Source organism: Homo sapiens, chromosome 12 (assembly GCF_000001405.40).
Source record: "Homo sapiens chromosome 12, GRCh38.p14 Primary Assembly".
Classification (NCBI taxonomy): domain Eukaryota; kingdom Metazoa; phylum Chordata; class Mammalia; order Primates; family Hominidae; genus Homo; species Homo sapiens.
Window position 1 is genome coordinate 38,821,511 of NC_000012.12, and position 19,255 is coordinate 38,840,765.

The window sequence follows — 19,255 nt, forward strand, 5'->3', positions numbered from 1 at the left end:
GCACACAAGTCTCATAGGAACAAGACACATGTCACACCAAGTCAGAACAACCAACCAATCATTCTGAGGCTTGTCTCTGACAATGACATTAAAGGCTATTTTGTAAAAAACTCATTCATTTTACCTATATCTCTCATGACTGGTCATATCCTTTACAATCCTTTCCATCCAGAAGAGTTCTTCATCTGTATGACTTTAGTTGTCACTACTGGAATATCTGAGTAGAGCAGAGAATCATGGGAATCTGCAGATACACATAATCTGCCTATTTAGAGTAAGCAATTTACCTCCCTGGAGATCATTCCAGAGAATGAGCTCACTCACATTCGAAAATGAATGCAAGAAAGTGGTTCAACTCAACATTTTGATTAAACTTCGATTATATGTAAACCTCAGAAGCTTGTGTATAATAACATGAGTAAATGTACTAAAATTCCTTCTATCTTTGGCCTTTAAAAAGAATATACCATTTTTCGAGAGGCTTTCCCAGAAGTAGATTAAAGCTCTACTCTAGGCTGGTGAAGTATCTAATATCTATCTGAAAGGCAATCAGTGGTTTTATTTTTAATGTGTTGAGTCATGTGAAGATTACAAACATGTATACACATCTGTGTAGTCTTTGCAAATAAAAAAATATTTTATTCTTAATTGACACTGAACCCTGGATTATTTTTTGTAATTACATGTTAACATGGGAAATTTGGGATATTTCCAAAACTATCTTATAAAACCCAAACTAATGAAAAGAAGAAATCTAACTCAGTTCCCCTATTTGATAGTTCAGCTACATACTGAAAACAGACAAATAGTTTTTAATATTTATATTTGGATAATACTTACCACTTTACATAAGTGTAATCAAGTTTGGTTTAACACGGTCCTTTCCTTAAACTTGCTGAATTCCTAGCTAAACACGTCTCTAAGAAAAATAAACATGAAGGAAGGAAGGAAAGATACTGGCTATTTTTAATAAAAACAATGAGTGTTTATTAAATTCTAATGTGCTCCATCACAAATCAGTTGTATAAAGTATTGATGTTACTTACAATAATACTCTTAAATGAGTGTTATTCAGATATTTCAGATGAGGAAGCTGGGTCTCAGGAATTTGATGCACTTTGCTCAAATTACATACCTAATCAATTGTAACACCCAGGTCTGACTGCTCCCAAAGCTCATGTACTATCAACTTCATTACAGTGGCTGTTTATTTAGCTCTACAGCAAATTCTTATTACAAATGTGACCCATAGACATAAAAAAAAGTATAGATGTAAAAACGGCCTAATATTGCAATAGCAAGTTAGTAGCAGAGATAGGACTAAAAACACCATCTTCTGAGTCCAGCCCAATATTCTTCCCACTGAAGTAAATTAGAGAGCATAACAATATCAATTTAATTAATAAAGATTACTTTGAGCCTCAAAATTTCCCCCAAAGTTGATTACATTTTTACAGGCAAAAAGCTGCATGCTAAAAACATGCCCTGTTTTATGGTGAGTTTGTATGTTTCCCACTTTTATGACTATGCATTCTCCTATCCCTCTTCCTCCTCTTCCTTCTCACAGACATTTGATCTCTAAGTGCATTCACAGTCAAAGCCTAACTTTCAGGATAAGTCCACATCTGTGTCAAATCTTCAAGCCAACCCTGTAAGTCTCTGCCTCAAGTCCCCTCAAACACTATTCTTCTATTTTAGTCTTCTTCCTTATTCTGAAGCTTCCTTTCTGCTCTGTTCCTCTCCCTGCTTTCATCTTGTTGTACTTCAGCACCTGTCTGTCTCTGTCCTTGAACCCTAAGTCACAATTGAGATCCCCACATCTATCAGACAATTACAAGCTGGTTTTTCAATTATCACTTGCCTCTGAGTCCCTGTCCCTGTCCTCTTCACCTGTTAGGACACAATCATCCATCTACGAACCTTCCCTTAATTCTCCACCCACTACCAACTGCCTAGATCACAAAGTGCTTTTGCCAGCCTACAAAAAACATAGCCTTTGCCCTCCTAAACGTCCTTTAGTCAAAACAGCTGCTGGTACCATTACTGCTGGTACTGCTTCTTCCCATTGTATCCTGCTTCTCCCTGGAGTAAGAATCTAGTTTCTAATTATTACCAGTGCCTGCCTTTTTCCCTGATCCTTTTATATGGAACCACTCATGCCTGGCTGAGAGTAACAGGAACAAATAGGCCTATTACTTGAGGAACATAATAAATATTTTCCTCCCAGAGGAGAGAATGGCAATCTTTCTTAAACCGGTGCTGATTCTTGCATTTCGGAAGGCTTTGCCGAATCCATCACTGAGATCCCTAAAGATAGAAGACATACGACTCTTTGACAGCATCACAGAAAATTGGATACAATCTCACAGCATGAGAAAACACACTGCTGAGTGGGTATAATGCTAAATAATAATGGGATGATCTAAAGAGAGGAGCCGATGAGTCATAGGAAGCACAGTAAATGTTTCAGTCAAATTAAGTAGCACAAGACTCATTTTAGGAGGGTTCCAGGAAAAGCCCAAAAGTGTAGGATGGAATTCAGATGAGAAACGTGTTTGCCCAAAGCTTAAATCCAACAGAACAGACTATTGAAATTGCAAAAATCTTAAGCTGCTATTAAAAAGTAAACTAAAAATTATTGAACATCAATTTCAAATTATTTCATCATTATGCATATAAAATATTAAAAATAGAAATGCTTTTTCCCATAATAAAATGAGAAAATCTAATTTTATAAATGACAACAATAACCAAAACACAGAAAGTAAAAAAGCCCGAGGTTAAATTCAAATTCTCATTATAGAATGAGGCAAAAGGCTACATACAACAAACCATTTTACCTTCACAATAATCCTAACTTCGTTGTCAAAAGTTTGATTGATATTAAATAATTTCAAATTCTAAGTTGTCTCCTTTAAATCTCCCAATTTTACAGTTATCATAAATTTAAAAAGACTATCTCTGAGGAGATATTACAACACAATCGCAATTAAAAAGCTAGAAGAAATTATTCTGAGTATCTTATCAGAAAATAATTTAAGTTAGGCCATTTAAAGGAAAGAAAGCAAAAAAAAAACAAGGAAGTATTCTGAATAACTTAGAATATAAATGGGAAACTAATTGGGAAATAAATCTCTAATCTAAAATTAATAAATAAGAGGTACTTGGATAATGCTACTTAAGATAAATAACATTTGGGACACAAGAAGACTTTAAATTCATGATAAATCAATTGTGTGTTACTTACAAGTGGACTGTCTGCCTCAGGATATCTTCTGGAGGTGTCCTATGCTGCAATTCAGAAGCCAGTGCCCATCCAGATAGGGAAAATCACCTAACCTCTCACAAACATGATTGCAAAAAGTAATGGCTGCAGCACCAGGAGTGTGCAAATTCTATTTCTATCCTCAGTCATGAGGACCAGACCATGAAAAACAGTAGAATGTTTAGTGGCTGTCCTACAATGTTATCTTTAACCAGACGGTTAAAGATATCTGGTCAGGGCAGGTTCACACAGCAAGGCAGCAGGAGGCAGTGGAAACTATGAAGAATAGATAGAAGAGCTATACCATAAATACCTATTATTTCCCCAGTGTGAATTTCTCGGCTATTTCGGTCATGCATTCATAAATTTTACTACTCTTACATATTCATGTGAAAACATGGAGGCTTCGAAGTTGTGTTTGTCACCAAGCTTCCTGTCACGAGAAGAAAACACTTCCTGACCTTGCATCATCTCCAATATCTTCCCTGGTTTCATTTCTTCCAAAGCCATTCCCTCTTCCACTGAAATATCTCAGATCTTCCCATGTTCCCATCTCTTCCCACTATTTGCTTATTAGATTGATTCAGGAAAAAAAGTTAAAAAGTAAAAAAAGTGAAGTACATGGAAGAGCAGGAGTTAGCAAGGATGAATGTGGAATTTAGGACTCCATGGAGTGGACCAGCTGCTCTGAAGGGCTATCTTGGCATTATTCGCAGATAAAGCTTCCATGAAAACAGCATTTTGCTCTTCCTCAACCCAATTGTGCTTTTTCAAACAAAAAGTATGAATGGTTGTGTTTTTCATTTGAGACTGAGGTAAGGGAGTAAAATGCTATTTGCATAGAAGCTGTATCTTCTCTCAAAGTACCTGAACTTAAAACTTAGCCAACAGACCTTGTTCTTCAATCCACATGTTCTTCCTCCAGACATATGCCTCTCTCACAGCTAGAGTTTTTCATTAAAGCCAGTCTTTTCTATGTAAGACGAAGGGTGACTACAAAATGTTTTTTCCAGTCCATTGTTCACCTGCGTTGGAACATCTGATCCAGTGATAGCACGTCACTAGGTGCCTTAATTAATAAAGCCAAAATATCTTTCCACTAGCAAACTAATCGTATTCACTTTTACTCTCCCATTTTTAATTAATCTTTCCTATTTCATTTCACCCTCTCATCTCTTTCCTCTATTGGATTATCTCAGGTATCTAATCCAATTCACTACTGTTTAATGAATGTAATTGCAACCAGTCTGCAATTCCTAAGGTTTTGTTTCTTTGCTTTTTTCTTTTGTAGTCCATCTCTTTGCTACACTCAAGCTTTACATTTTCTTACCCACTTAGTACTAAAACTTGCCTAGCTAAGTTTTCTTAGAAAAATTTAGAAATCTTCCACTGCTCAAACAATAATCTTACCTTTAAACTATTTTCTTAATGTTTATTTGCCTGACAAGACTGTCCAAGGAGATGAAGGGCTGAATAAAATTTAGTGATATAAGCTTAGAAAATCAAATTAATTATTCCTTTTTCAGTAAGAAAGATAGAACCTGAGGACCTTCAATAAAGTTGTCTAAATTTCAGAATATCCTATAGATGAAGCACAGCATGTGGTTACTGTAGATCCATGTTGGATGAACAAGTTTTGAAGTCTTTCCCTCATTACACTATATGAAATATGTGTATGTTATACCCCGCCCTTAGCAAGAGCTAAGAAAAATCTAAATCTCATCCTTTCTGATTACATAAAATGATCATGACTCAACCCCCAGCAAATTCTCCCAACATCTGCATATTCTACCAGTCTACCCTAGGTATCTTCACCTCTTAGCAAGAATTTATTTTTGCTGGTCATACCTAGTGGGAATTGTTGAATCAGCTGAACAAGGACCATATCTTATGCTATGTTCTATTCACCACATACCCCAATCAACACATTATAATAATATCAAATTTTTAATATATTCCAAGATTAATATAAATATGATTTTCCACTGGTAAATTTTTTATAACTTAATAATTTAATCATTTTCTGAAATTAGAATTATGATTTCCTTATGTTAAAAAAACAGATAAAAATTTCCAATAAAATTACTAATTTAAAAATATGTATACCACATAGGCTGGGTGCAGTGGCTCACGCCTGTAATCCCAGAACTTTGGGAGGCCGAGGCGGGCAGATCACGAGGTCAGGAGTTCGAGACCAGCCTGACCAACATGCTGAAACCCCGTCTCTACTAAAAATACAAAAAAAAAAAAAAAAAAATTAGCAGGGTGCCACACGTGCGCCTGTAATCCCAGCTACTCGGGAGGCTGAGGCAGAAGAATCACTTGAACCCGGGAGGCAGAGGTTGCAGTGAGCAGAGATTGCGCCTGGACAACAAAGGGAGACTCCGTCTCAAAAAAAAAAAAAAAAAAAAGTATACCACATAGCCAACGTGCATAGGAAAGAAATGCTCAACATCACTAATCATTAGAGAAATGCAAATAAAAACCATAATGAGATATCATCTTAGAACAGTCAGAGTGGCTATTACTAAAAAGTCAAAAAATAACAGATGCTGGTGAGGCTGCAGAGAAAAGGGAACACTTATATGCTGCTGGTGGAAATGTAAATTAGTTCAGCCATTGTGTAAAGCAATTTGGTGATTTCTCAAACAACTTAAAACAGAATTACCATTTGACCCAGCAATCCCATTATTGGGTACATAGCCAAAGGAATATAAATTGTTCTACCATAAAGACATTCATGTTTATGTTCATTGCAGCACTATTCACAATAGCAAAGACATGGAATCAACCTAAATGCCCACCAATGGTGGACTGGATAAATAAAATGTGGTAAATATACAACATGGAATATTATATAGACATAAAAAAGTCTGAAATTTTAACCTTTGTAGCAACAGTAATGGAACTAGAGGCCATTATCCTAAGCAAATTGACACAGGAACAGAAAACCAAATACCACATGTTCTCACTTATAAGCGGGAGATAAACATTGAGTAGTCATGGACACAAAGAAGGAAACAGCAGACACTGGAGCCTACTTGAGGGTGGAGGAAGGGAGGAAAGTGAGGACCGAAAAACTACCTATGGGGTACTATGCTTATTACCTGGGTGATGAAATAATCTGTATGCCAAAGCCCTGTGATGTGCAATTTATCTACCTAACAAACCTGCACAAGTACCTCTGAACCTAAAATAAAAGCTAACAAATAAATAAATGAATAAGAAGTGTACCCATTCATAAAAATCTCTATTCTGTTGCTTGGAAATGAAAATTCTGTATTTTAATTGCTTTTGTTTTCTCTTGAAGAATGTTAAAGGCATCTTTAAGGTGGTATTGCATATATTATTGATTCTTTTTAACGACAAAAAACAAAAGGTAGATTTAGTGGTCTTAGGAATCCTTGTGAGCATAAGTCACTAGAATAGGAGATGCAATTAGAATTATATGCACTCAATAAAATATTTGCATCTGCCTCACAGATTGCTTACTACTTACTAAAGTGAGCATAAATATATTTTTGTAATAAGCTTCCAAGTCCTATAATTATGTGAAAATAAATTACACACAAAAAGAATTTAAAATGGGAGCTGATATATGAAAGTTTTCAAACTGACATTCGGTAATAATTTTCTAAGGAAATCAAATTAAATTTCAAAAACTTAGAATTTATAGAATTCTTATTAGCCTAATAATTTCTTGCATAGCAATGAACACACTAAATAAAAAGTTTAATTTTATATAAGAAATGTGAGAATAATGCCTTGCCATTTCAAGTATTTATGTCAGAAATAAACAGATTTATGGAGTATTGGAATATTTATTTTTTGAGTTTGAGATTCTTAAAAGGTTGATGAAGATAAAGACTTCAAAATTCCCTAAAGCTTTTGAGATTGTGGTTAACTCTGCAAATGTACTATTCTTTCTAGATCTTCTGAATTTTATGAACAGTTAAGTCAATCCAAATAATCAGGATTAGGGAAGGGGAAGAAGGAGGAAAGGAGAATAAAGCCATGAAAAATTTCTAAAATTTGCTCCCTGCCTTATTTGGAACTGGAGGAAACAGAATCAACTCATGCAATTGACATGAAAACTAAACATGATCCTAGTAATTGAAGGTGAAGATGGAATAGACCATTCTTAGTGATTACCTTCTCCCAATATTTACCTACTTACAGCTTTCTCTACAAGCCACTTCCATGGTAAAAATTATTATGAAAATTTCAATAACCAAAAGTGCATTTATGAAATACATGGTATTAACAGCAGTTTACTACATATATTTACTAACCCAAAAGAGTAAAATCTCTTTTTCAAGAAGTACGAAATCTGATAATTAATAGTACAACCAAAAGAAAAACAACACATTTCCTTATTTAAATTTGCTCATTTCATCTTGTGAAAATTTTTTAGCATAGCATATGACAGGTGACATAGAAATTATTCTTTAAAAATATGTCAAAATTATTTGTTAAAAGAAAAAACTCAAACAAGATTTTAAAACCCACTTTTGCTCCACAACCATGCATTCACCAATTCCAAACTGACAAAATAGAAACTGTTAAAGTTGGCATTTCATTGTCTGAATTAAAAAATACTTACACTATTGGTTTTTCCAGGCGACTTCCCTGTGAACCAACGATCTCTCCCAATGTACAAAACACTTGTCCCAGAAAGTCCTGAAATAGATAAAAAGATTAAAGCTCATAAGTTTCCAAACTATCTTTACAGTATATGTTTTGTACATCATACATCTGCATTGTTTTCATTGCTGAAATATTGACATTTCTAACTTCCAACAATAAGTAAAATAAGCTCAATATGCATTAATCTTACCATGTGACTTTCACATGTTTGCACAGCATTTTGTGTTTTTAATCACAGAGCAGTTATTCTGAGTTCACAGGCATTGCATTTGTTTTCTTTTTATGTTTTAAGTTACAATACAAAATAGACAAAAGTTGGAGGTTTTGAATGCACAATTGGCTTAACTTCGGATGCCTCTGAATTACTGGAATTGTTGGCTGAGGAGACAAAATGAGAAAGCCCACAGCAGAGGTGGCTAATCCCAGTAACACTTAGAGAAAGGTCATGTGATGCAGTAGCCTCAACTAGGGTCCACAGCCAACCTGCCAGGTGTCTATTCTAGTACTACCACTTACTAACTGTGATTGTAGGCAATTAATTAAGCTCTGCAGTTTGCTCTTCTCTATAATGTATTAGTACCTCCTCACAAAATTGTTCTGAGGGTTCAATTAGTTATTGCATGAGTTAATACTAGCATATTGTAAGTGCCTAAAAATGGGTTAAGTAAAATATACTATAACGTTCATTAACATACAACCGTATGATTCTTATTTTCAAGACTCAGAATAACCCTGTAAATGAGAGGTCTGATATTAACACTGCATTTCACATATAAAGAAACTAAGTGCTTATTTCACATTGCATGCCTATATCAAAACATCTCATGTACCTCATAAATGCATACACCTACTATGTACTCACAAAAATTTTTAATTTAATTTAATTTAATTTAAAAAATAGAAACTAAAACTCTAGAAGGTTGATTTTCCATAAATAGCAGAGCCAAGACAAACTCTGATGTTCTGATTCCAGACTGATATGCCACATAAGAATTTAAATACCATAAGTACAGTGCAAACTCATATATCTATAAAATAAGGGCACCAACACCATCTGGATATGTAGGTCAAGAAAATGTGAAGTTGTTCCAGGGAAAGACACGTGCCTTCTAGCTTAGCCTGTATGTGTTCAAAGAATTGCCCTGTTCTAAAACAAGGTGAGAGATCTCTCTAAATTGTTTGTGTACTGAACACGACCAAGAAAATTCCTAAGAAGGATGGACAGAGAGGATTAATGGCAAACAAAATGTGTTCAGTATACTAAATAAACAAATCTATTTAGTTTAGTAGTTTTACAGAGAAATGACTGTTCTCAGATGAAAGAAAAAAGCCAACCTATGGTGAGGAACTAGTATTGGCCCCATTTCTCAGATAAGGGAACTGAGGCACAGAGATAGTAAATTGCTCAGAGCTACAATTTGGACCCAAGTCTAAACCCAAGGCTTACTACTCACCTAATCACTATGCCAAGCCATGCTGCCTCTCTGCTTCTAGTCTAATGAAAGGAATGAGACCCAGTCACAAAAAAGCTTACCAAGCCACAAAAGTAAAAACTATGTTCTTCAGTGTTGGAGGTGGGGAAAGTGGGGGTGAGAAGTGCCCTAATTAAAAAGAGGAGGAAAAGATATCTGTAGACTAGCATAGTCAAGGGAACATTTTCCCAAAGGAATTACTTTCTTGAGAGCCAGTAAGGAATCAGATCAGATATTGCTTGGAGAGAAGATAATTGGACATTCTAGATTTACAGAACAGAGTTACAGGCCAGAGAATAATGAGAAAAGAGAAGGACTCAAGTAAAAAGCAGAAATGGAGATGAAGAGCCAAGCCCAGAGAGGGCCCTCATGACCAGACACAAAAGTTGTCTTAGGGTCATCAGAAGCAACCAGAAGCCTTTCACCAATTCAGGGACACCATTAGAGCAGTGTATTCAGAAGATTACTCAAGTGCCTATTTGCAGAGTGATTTCAGGAATGAGGAAAAAAACTAGAAGCCAGATCAATCAGAAGGCTATGGTAGTTAATAAGAGGCAAAGTGTTAAGGCCCCAAACAGTACCACACAGAAAAATGACAGGATTTGGTGAAAACCATACTTGCACATGAGACAAAAAATAACCCCACATCTGATACTTGGATACTGCCGGCATGGCCATACCTTCATTAAACTGCAAATCACTTTAAATTTGTTTTCAAATACATAAAGAGAATTTAAGATAAAGCTTTCCCATATTTAAATTAAACACCTTTCATAATGGCACTTCTTTATCAATATCAAAACAGATTTTACAAATGTTTATGGAATTTTAATAAACCTAAATTTCTTTAAGTCTCATGACAGCTAGAAAGAACTGAAAACTGAAGATCTGAAATGTATCATTGCTCTTCTGAGTCAGCAGCAAAAAAACACACAAGGGCGATTCCAGAATTCTTTTCTAAGGATAGTTATGCTTATGCGCACCTGCAAATACTACATATTAAATGGACTTTGCCAATGGAGTAGCGAGTCTCAGTAAAAGCCATCTGTGCTGAAATTGCTCAAGAGAATAAAACATAAATATTGAGCAGGATCATATTAATATGGAGACACACTAACAAATACAAGAGAACACATGAACAATCATCTTGGCTGAACAAAATCAACAAAACGTGCACCAAAAAGCTATGACGTGAATCTGTGTATTTCTGTATCAAAGGCCACACACACACTGGTGTCAACCAGCTCTGGCTAGTCCTAGCTGATTGGCCAGAACTCCACTAGACTGGTTTGATAAACCCCTGAATTAAAAACACCTGAGTGCTAGGTAATGAGGACGATTTCATACCTACAAGAAGCACGGGAAAGGGTGTGTGGCTTGACATACACTATGACATACACCACTGGACTCTACAGAAAAAGCCCCAGGAGAAAACTAAGTCAGAAGTCATTTCCTTTTCCAGCTCCACCAGCGCAGGGCAATGCAATCACCCAATTAGCTAAACTGGGACTGCTGAAGAATCAACACAGGCCCATAATGGCAGACATGAAAAGCACAGACATCTGCTGAGAAGGAAAACAGTACTGTGGCAGTAAGCTGGACATACAGCCATACAGGGCAGTATTGCCAGATCACTTCCCAGGCCTCTCCCTTAAAGGTGAAGCTGGGAAGTGTAAGGCTATAGAAGACCTCGGCCTGTTGCTCTTGCAAATTCAGGTGAGTATAATGTACATACGACTTAAATGGAGGCCTCTACAGGTACCGTACATTTTGCCCCCAAATATTTATGGCACTCTCAGCTAATGTTTGTATTTTTAGTAGAGACAGGGTTTCGCCATGTTGGCCAGGATGGTCTCGAACTCCTGAGCTCAGGTGATCCACCTGCCTCAGCCTCCCAAAGAGCTAGGATTAGAGGCATAAACCACTGCACCCGGGCTTGATTCAATATTTTAGTAGAAACAATTTCTCACATTTTAATATTATAAAAAAGCAAGAATTTGTCTTTTTAACGGATAGATCCATCTACAAACCAAAATGCTAAATCCAACCTCCGAGAGATAATACAAAGTTCTAAATTTAAATTACAAATACAATTTCTAAAATTATACCCTATCCTTGAATGTGTACATTTCTTTTCCCTCAGCACAACTGTTGGTTTTTAAGATATTTTTGGCTACACCAGGAGCAGTGGCTCACACCTGTAATCCCAGCACTTTGGGAGGCCGAGGCGGGCGGATCACTTGAGGTCAGGCGATCAAGACCAGTCGGGCCAACATGGTGAAACCCCATCTCTACTAAAAATACAAAAATTAGCTGGATATGGTGCTGTGTGCCTGTAATCCCAACTACTTGGGAGGCTAAGGCAGGAGAATCGCTTGATCCCGGAGGCAGAGGTAACAGTGAGCTGAGATCGTGGCACTGTACTCCAGCCTGGGCGACAGAGTGAGACCTTATCTCAAAAAAAAAAAAAAAAAAAAAGAAAAGAAAAGATACCTTTGGCTTTCTAACAGTCCAAATGAAGGCAGTTAAATAAGACACTGAAAGAAAATTTTCAACAAGTAGATGATCAGTGACTGAAATTAACCTTTTTTTTTTTTTTTTGAGACGGGAGTCTTGCTCTGTTGCCCAGCCTGGAGTGCAGTGGAGCGATCTCGGTTCACTGCAAGCTCCACTTCCTGGGTTTGCACCATTCTCCTGCCTCAGCCTCCCGAGTAGCTGGGACTACAGGCACTCGTCACCACGCCCAGCTAATTTTTTGTATTTTTAGTAGAGACGGGGTTTCACCGTGTTAGCCAGGATGGTCTCGATCTCCTGACCTCGTGATCTGCCCGCCTTGTCCTCCCAAAGTGCTGGGATTACAGGTATGAGCCACCGCACCCGGCCACCAATTTTTAAAAATTATCAAAGGATAACATGAAGAGCTCTTTTACACAGGGCAGTCAGGTAAGTCCTTGCAGTTATCTATTCAAGTAGATACCTGAATCATGTGAGGGAGGGAACCATGTGAATATCTGGGGCAGAAGCATTACAGATAGGAGAAAAAGCAAGAACAAAGTCCCTGAGACAAGTATTTGGGTGCTCAAGGAAAAGCAAGAGAGACAGCAGGTTAGAGCAGGGTGAGCAATGATGAGAATGGCAGGAGAGGAGGTAACCAGGGGCTATATCAAGGACTGATTTCTATCCCAAGTGTGGATGAAAGCCATTGGAGGGTTTAAACTGGAAAGCGACATGTCCTAGCTGGCTTTTAAAATGATCATTCTAGCTACTCTTCTTCCCTCAAGATTCTATCCTATTCTCTTCTCCATTTGCATTTTCTTAGATAACTCTGAGTTCCAACTTGATTGGCTGATGGTTAGTAAATCTATATCTTAGTCTTCAAACACTGCCTAATCAATATCTCCATTTGGATGCTTACTGGGGGTCTCAAATTTAACATGAACTTGGCCTTACCATGGGTCTCTCAATCCTCACCCCCCTGCCTCAATCTCCTTCTCCCCAATGTACCTCATTATATGAACCACATCACTATTTACCCATTTGTTCTCATCAGGAACCTAGTAGCCACTCTAACTTCTCTTATTTTTACACTGGACATCCAATTCATCATCAGTCATACTACCAACATATATTCCAAATCTGACCACGTCTTACCACTTCAATGGTTTTTAACCACCAAAGGTTGCTCACCCAGTCAAACTACAACAGCCTTATAACTGACCTCCTTAATTCCAGTCTTGCTTCCTCAACCCCATTCTCCACTTCAACTGTCACAGTCACCATTTAAATGCATAAATCAGATCACATCATCCTCCAGTGATATCCATCCAAAAAAAGAAAAATCCAAACTCTTTTTTTAACTGTGGCCTCCAAATCTCTCCATCATCTGATTCCTATGTATGTTTCCGAACTATTTCAGTACACTCCCTTCATCACTCATAATATTTTACATATGGTAGCCAACTTTCTGTCACACCAACATTCCAAACTTTTTTTTTTTTTTTGAGATGGAGTTCACTCTGTCACCAGGCTGGAGTACAGTGGCACAATCTCGGCTCACTGCAACCTCCGCCTCCCTGGTTCATCCCTGGTTCAAGCGATTCTCCTGCCTCAGCCTCCTGAGTAGCTGGGATTGCAGGCATGTGCCACCATGCCCATCTAATTTTTGTATTTTTAGTAGATACAGGGTTTCACCACGTTGGCCAGGATGGTCTCAATCTCCTGACCTCGTGATCTGCCCACCTCGGCCTCTCAAAGTGCTGGGATTACAAGCATGAGCCACCGCACCTGGCCCCAGACTCTTTCTTGACTCAAGGCCACTGGACTGTTCTTCCTTTTGCCTGGGATGCTGTTCTCCTAGATTTTCAATCATTCCCTCCTTCTCCTCAGTAAATATACACCCAAGGTGATAAATGGCATAGAACCATGCTGGTTGGTTTAGGGAAACTTCAGCTTCTGACTACTGGTGCTTCTCCAGTCACTCTCTCCCAGTGTCAATGTCTTACTAGTTTAAGTGCCATAAAGAAAGTCAAGTATCTTAATCACTTATTGTATTCATGTTCATTGAGTAAATCTGCTTACCTCACCTCTTCAATTCCAAAATGTAAGCTGCTTTAGGAGAGAGGCCTTGTTTGTCTTATTCATTGCTATATTCCCCAGCATGACAAGTGCCTGTCCTATATTTATTGCCTGTCTGCCTATATGAATATATATTAATACTTTAGAATTTAGTTCATCTATATATACGTTAAATTAGCTTTATACTCTAATGAAAGAATCTTGCCCCACTTAAAAATCTGTTTCTATGAGAAAATCCATTTCATGGTCCAAACAATATTCAAATAAAATTTTTAAATATAACTGATCTGTATGTGAAAGCTTATATTTATAATATTTAGAAAGTGTATTAAAAAATATACACCTTCACTGAAGTCTAGTATCTAGTGTACAAAATAATCCAGTGACCCATGAATACGTCTGAAACAAAAAGTTTAGTGGTGCCTTCCGCAACCAACCAAGTGGATAAATGTATTTTGGATTGCCTTGTCTGTATGAAAATTTAGTATATAGAGTACAGTTTCTATGTTATCTGGTCCAACATCCCAAGCAGAATCCTGTACACACCAATTATGGGCCTGTCATTAATCCTTTCATTAATGATTTGGCTTATGCAATTTAATTATGCAAATGAAAGTATGCTATGTAGTTCTGCTAATAGTATTTAGTTGAGTAGGTTCACTAGTACCTTACAGAACAAACTCAGAATTCAAAATGCCATATTTTGTTCACAGGGCCTAACAGTATAGGGAAAAATATCTTAGTAAAGCTATTTCCTCAGAGAATCATAAACAGAATAAATCTTCTAAAAAAGATGTCCCTAGATTCCATAAGTCTTTGTCTGGTGCACAATGATTTTCACTAAAACACGTTTCCACCACAAATAGAATCAATTAAAGTAATTATGATCATTTACGTCTTATGTCATATTTATTTGCAATGTTAGAAATCTAAGGTGCAGTTCTATATTCTATCTCCATTTTCCCTAACAGTATCAAAAAACAGGAATTTGACCCAAGAGTCTTAAGTACCGAACACCAAATAAAGTCATCCTGAGAGAAAATTCTTTCAAAATTATCGGAAAAGAGAATGGAAAAAAAAAATTATTATTACTAATTCAAGGGGTCTCTCTTGCTACAAAATCCCTTTTATAAAAAAATAAGTAAGTGCCTTTATGCCACATGCAACCTGGGCACTTAGCAGTTTTTCCTACAAGGTTCCAGTTCATATTTATTTCACTTTGCAAAATTGGCAGGTAGACAACAACAGTCTTAATGAATCATATCCTCAGGGAATAAACCTATCTTGTTCATTGATTCTGTCTGATCTTCAAAAATCCTCATGAATTTCTTTTGGGTTGGATGAGCTATATGCGTCTTTACCTAAAATCTGTACTTGTATGCTTTCAATTAAGGAATAGCTTTTGCTATAAATTTCTAACAGAAATCTAGATAGTCATCTCTAACAGTTCTTATAACAATTCAAAAACACATTTTTCTTCTCTTTCGACATCCTTCACCTACTTATAAGCTCAGGCACTTATTAACTAATCTGTATAGTCGACTAAATATATTTTAAAAATATAACACAGACACAAATATAAAGGATAGCTTAAAATGTAAAATAATATAAATCATGGGACCTACAGGAGACGATGCAATATATCGGTAGAAAAGTAATGAGAATCTGAACTAAGGCAATAACAGCAAGAAGGGAAAGAAGAAGGCAGAAAGAGAAGCATTTTTTTGTTAGAAGGAATAGGACTTGGTGGCTCAGTAAAAGTCAAACGTGACACAGAAAGTGGTTAACCATGCATCCAAATTTTCTAACTGAGTAAACTGTGTTGATGAATTATTCTCAAGATAAATCACAGAAGCAGAAGCACATGATCTGGAAGGAAAAAATCATAAATTTTAGATCTACTTGAGTTTTAGGCTTCTGTGGAGTATGTACTAGGAAATACTTAACAAGCAATTGAAACTTGCATTTGCTAAGGTATCCAGAGGGATAAACACTTGAGGGTCATCAGGTATGGTAGGGACATGGTTGAGCTCTCCCAAAAACAGTTTATATAGTGAGATGAGATAAAAATTGAAAATAAAGTTATGAGAAAAAATAATATTTAGGGATAAGAGGAGGAAATAAAGCTTAAAGTGACAGATAATGGGTAAACAGGGAGGCTGGAGAAGCAGCAAGGGAGAGGTTTCTGTGGAAGTTAGAAATGAATGTTTCAAGAACGGAGTAGTCAATCCTATTTGGAACAGAGAGAGAGAGATTATGAGGTAAAGAGTGAAGAGAAGACATTCAATCTTAATCTAACCTATGTCAGGGTAGTTTAAGCAGAATTGAAAACCTGATGAGGAGATAGTAAAAGAGGTATCATGAGGGTAAAGCAGTGTCAAGATAAAATTTCTTACGATGAGAAGATAAAATTTTCTTATGAAAATAAAAGTATTTCTACAAAAGAGAAAGATTTGAAAGGAAATATACATTTATGATTTCTAGGAGGAGTATCTCTTATATAATAAAATGTAGTCACTAGTGACTATTAAAGGGAAAAGAATTAGCCATGTTTAAGGTACCTTCCTATCCCATACACTTCTCTCTGCCCTGTACTTAAGGCAACTCCACTGATAGGAAACACATGTTCCCAACTTCACTTAAAATATCCAACCCCATGGAAATGTCCTTACCTGCCAGTTATTACGCCCTTTGAAGAGTAGTTTGAACTAAGAAACACAGAAACTATATTCAGGGAGAGTGGTACTTGGAAGTCTATGTCCAGTCAGAAGTGGTGAGGTCATTTCCCTAAACAGAGAAACTTGGTCTTCAAAGAGAAGCAGAAGCTCAGAGAAAAGACATGGTAAAAAGAATATGTGGCCTGAGAGAGAGAAAGAGAAATGGAGAGAATAGCTATCTCACTCACAACTCACCACCCTGTTTCCAGTGCCAGCTCCCATAAAGCCAACCTACACTTCACATTTATGACATGCTCATAATCCCTTTAATCAACAACCTATGTGTGAGAAGTGAATACATTTCTTTCCTTACAACTCAATAACTTTGACTATAAAATGCAGTTTCTTTTCTGATTCTTTTTAGGACATTTGCAAAACTTCCAATATAAAGCTATGCAAATAAATTGTAAATGTCTAGTCACAATGCTATAAACCTTAATCATGAGCAGGAAGGTGGCATGGCAATCACAATGAACTTTACTTATGGAGAGCAATAAGCTTGTTGCAGCATTTTTTTCAACCTGTAAAGAGGTAAATCACTTAGACAGACTGTTCCTGAATACTTCTTCACATGATTCTGCTGTATGCTTCATAACACAAATAAATCTCATACCTCCTTCAATGAAGGGGGCAGCAGTAAATGTGATTTTTACCACCATACGTATCCATGCTCCCAGATTTTCCAAATCTGTTTCCTAGCTCGTAATCCCCCTTTCTGTCTCATCTCTTTTCCGAATTATTACACTCCCCTTCTCCAAACTTCATGGGAAATCACATGCCCATCTATTCTAGTTTGACAGCGTACAACAGTGGAAAAGTTAAAAAATCTCACCCTCCTACATTTCTGGGAACTGTTAGTCCAGCCAGCCTCCTAACTCTGACACAACTGCTAATTCTACATCTGTGTACCCAGATTTCACTTGGCACCTCAGTTATCTCCTTTCAGAATGCTGTTTTCACCCTCATTCAGCCCTTCCTACTGGGGGTGGCCTAATTCCAATTTCACAGGTCAATAAACAAGTTGATGGATTAGCACAATGTTTCGCTGGAGTATCTCACTCTCATTCCTCCCTTCCCATCTACACTTCTTTTCTGTCTAGCTCTGATGCCCAACTACTCCTGGACCTGGAAATTTCCCCAGGTAACAGTTGTTACCTGGCAACTAGAGCTCTTGAGAAAAGAGGAATAGACCAAAGGAGGGACCCAAAAAAGAAAACAAAACTATAAGTGACTTGAGGACAGAGATTATGTCTATCATGCCCATATTATGCCCTCTGAAACTAGCACAATGCCTGGCATATATAGATATTCAGGAAATATTGGTAAATAAACAAACTACAAAAAAAAAACAGAATAACAAACCACTCTGCCTACACTCAGCTACTTCCCATTCTCTTAGAAGTTAAACCTTGCAAAAAGACACTTGCAATTTCATCTTGCTTAACCTGATCTAACTTCAAACATCACTGGGAACTGTAATCATCATTTACTGAAAAAATAAAGATTAAAAATTAAAAGGAAGATTAGTCCATTTTACTTACTAAAGGTAACGTTTTTAATAAGCTCCTCCAAAATGTTTTTCTGGGGTTCTTTTAAAATGTTACTTATTTTCTATGACAATCACGTTACATGAATAACTTAATAGATGTATAACTTTAATATTAATAAGTCAGCATAAGTACTAATCATTGTATTATAATGTTATAAAAACATAAAAATATGAACTTACATGTTTGGATAAGTTGGGGCTCTTTGAATCAACATCATACCTAAAAGATTGAAATATAAAACTCAAATTATTTCCACAAAATACAGCTAGAAAAAAAACCAGTATTTTCCAAAACACATAAATAATATAAAAATGAATCCAAAATAATACCAATAGGAAGAAAAACTTAGCAAATTTTAAAGTTTCACATATTCCGTGGCTTACATGCCAGTGGTAGAATTCATGATCCTTGGGTTCTTTCATTTCTAAACACCTAACAAGCCTTAATATTTTCTCAATAATCAATTCTACTTTTTGATAAGTTTAAACTTTCTCTTTTCTGTGCATAAGTTTAAACCTTCTCTTTTCTGTGCATCAGTAGTATCCCAGTACTGTGCAACTTACTTCAAAATTCCTTAAAAACTGAAAAGCCCTCTTCTCTGGACATCATTTTAAAGGGCAACATGAGGGATCCTTGAGGTGATAGAAATGTTCTGTATATTGCCAGGATAAATGTCAATATCCTATTTGTGATATTGCAAGATGTTGCTACTGGGGGAACCTAGGTAAAGGATACCCAAGTCTCTCTGTATAATTCCTGTATTATTTTTTACAACTTCACGTGAATGAATCTATGTTTATCTCAAAATAAAATATTTTTAAAAATCAAATTAATTATTTAACAAACAGATCCTGGTAACAGGTTGTCCTTAGCACACATTTTAATTTTTACTTAATATCTTAAATGCTATTGTTAAATTGGCTGCAGTAATGAGACATTATTTTTCCCTAATCACAGAACTTAAAGAAAACATACATTTTATGGAAACAAACATATTTACATAAGACTACCATATGTTCTGGTTTTGAC

General features: G+C 36.4%; 1 protein-coding gene across 7 annotated transcripts in view; it reads right to left on the reverse strand.

The window, feature by feature from the left end:
• CPNE8 (copine 8) overlaps positions 1–19,255 on the reverse strand; it is a 254,633-nt gene that overhangs the window by 169,308 nt on the left and 66,070 nt on the right. For all 7 annotated transcript variants that reach the window (XR_245896.5, XR_007063052.1, XM_017018852.2 and 4 more), the window contains exons 5-6: positions 18,406–18,445; positions 7,869–7,945 (exon numbers count right to left, since the gene is read on the reverse strand). Coding sequence is in view for 4 of the 7 variants with exons in the window: in NM_153634.3 (NP_705898.1) it covers positions 7,869–7,945; positions 18,406–18,445 (117 nt within the window). In the remaining 3 variants the exon portion in view is untranslated. The remainder of the gene's footprint in view (positions 1–7,868; positions 7,946–18,405; positions 18,446–19,255) is intronic.